The 1289-nt window shown below is 35.9% G+C and overlaps 1 annotated feature.

The window, feature by feature from the left end:
• Positions 312 to 831: an enhancer, noted in NCBI's record as "NANOG hESC enhancer chr11:38070931-38071450 (GRCh37/hg19 assembly coordinates)". NCBI's record gives its function as "activates a minimal SCP1, AML or CMV promoter by ChIP-STARR-seq in naive and primed H9 embryonic stem cells {active_cell/tissue: H9 hESC(naive and primed)}" and the evidence as "EXISTENCE:reporter gene assay evidence [ECO:0000049][PMID:30033119]".

Here is a 1289-nt window from a genome sequence, read left to right on the forward strand (position 1 = left end):
ACTTGGTAGTAGATGTCAGAATAGCTATGTGGTGTGCTGAAGTTACAGCATAAGATTAAAAGCCAATCCATGAAAATTATTATGCAATACACTATGATAGCATTATACATCCCTTAGCAAGTTTGTCATTTTTTTCAGCACCAAACACAAAGAATGGCTTTAAAGAAGAATCACACAATTGTATTCTCATGCATTCTCAACCACGTTTGAGTCCTAAAAGATGCCTTCTAAAAAAGAGAATGCTGACTCTTTTACTGTCCAGATTTTAGAGGTCATAGAAATACTATTATTTCCAAATAGCTATATCATGACTTTTACATTAATTTAAAGATAATAAAGGTAGATGTGAAAAAGAAAATTATTTTTCAAAAGTAGTGTCTCCTCACTTGCCGTTAAAGTAAAGATCGTTTGAACTCTAGATCCTCTAAGGTATAATTTGCACTGGTTGCTTTCGCCTGCTTTGAAAATGTGTCCTTCCCCCAGTGCCGTCAGCTCACTTTGATCATCAGTTCTCACACTTCTGAAAGCTTCCATTCTCACCATGTAGTACTGAATCTTGCATGTGTATAGCACAATTTGGGGATAGGCAGCAATGAGGCCCTGGGGATATTTTCTTTGGGATGCAGAGTTACAGCTCTTCAGAGTCCATTTTCAAGGTGAACTAGGCTCCTGTGGTTACGTATCTCCCTCCTTCAGAACTGCTTCTAGGCCTTAGGTAAGATTGCTTCTGTATCCTTCAGAAGAACCCTGTGGGTTCTACAAAGAAGAGCTTAAAGACTAAAATAATGTTATAGGTTAAATGTGTTTTTAGGAAGTTTATGTAAGGGGCAGAAACATTAAAAACAAAACAAAATCACCATCATAGGTACAAGTAGTTGGGTTTGACCATACTAGACTGAAATAATTCTCTCAAAGCCTATTTGAACTCAATTAAAAGATCTCATTGTTATTTTCAGTGTTTTAAGAATTGCTCCTTTGGCAGTTTGTAGAATGTCAGCAAAATTTAGTAGGCACATTTTGGAGGAGTATATTCTCTCTATGTATATTTATTTATATACACACACATGTAAATATAATATGTATAATAAATATACCAATGATTACTATTATTACAATATGTACTATACTAATATATATTAATATATGTTAGATATGTTAGTGAATACATAATTAGCCAGGTGTGGTGGTACATGCCTATAGTCCAAGCTACTCAGGGTGCTGAGGTGGGAGGCTTGCTTGAGCCCAGGAATTTGAGACTGCAGTGAGCCATGTGTCAGCAACAGAGGGAC

This window comes from Homo sapiens, chromosome 11, assembly GCF_000001405.40.
Source record: "Homo sapiens chromosome 11, GRCh38.p14 Primary Assembly".
Classification (NCBI taxonomy): domain Eukaryota; kingdom Metazoa; phylum Chordata; class Mammalia; order Primates; family Hominidae; genus Homo; species Homo sapiens.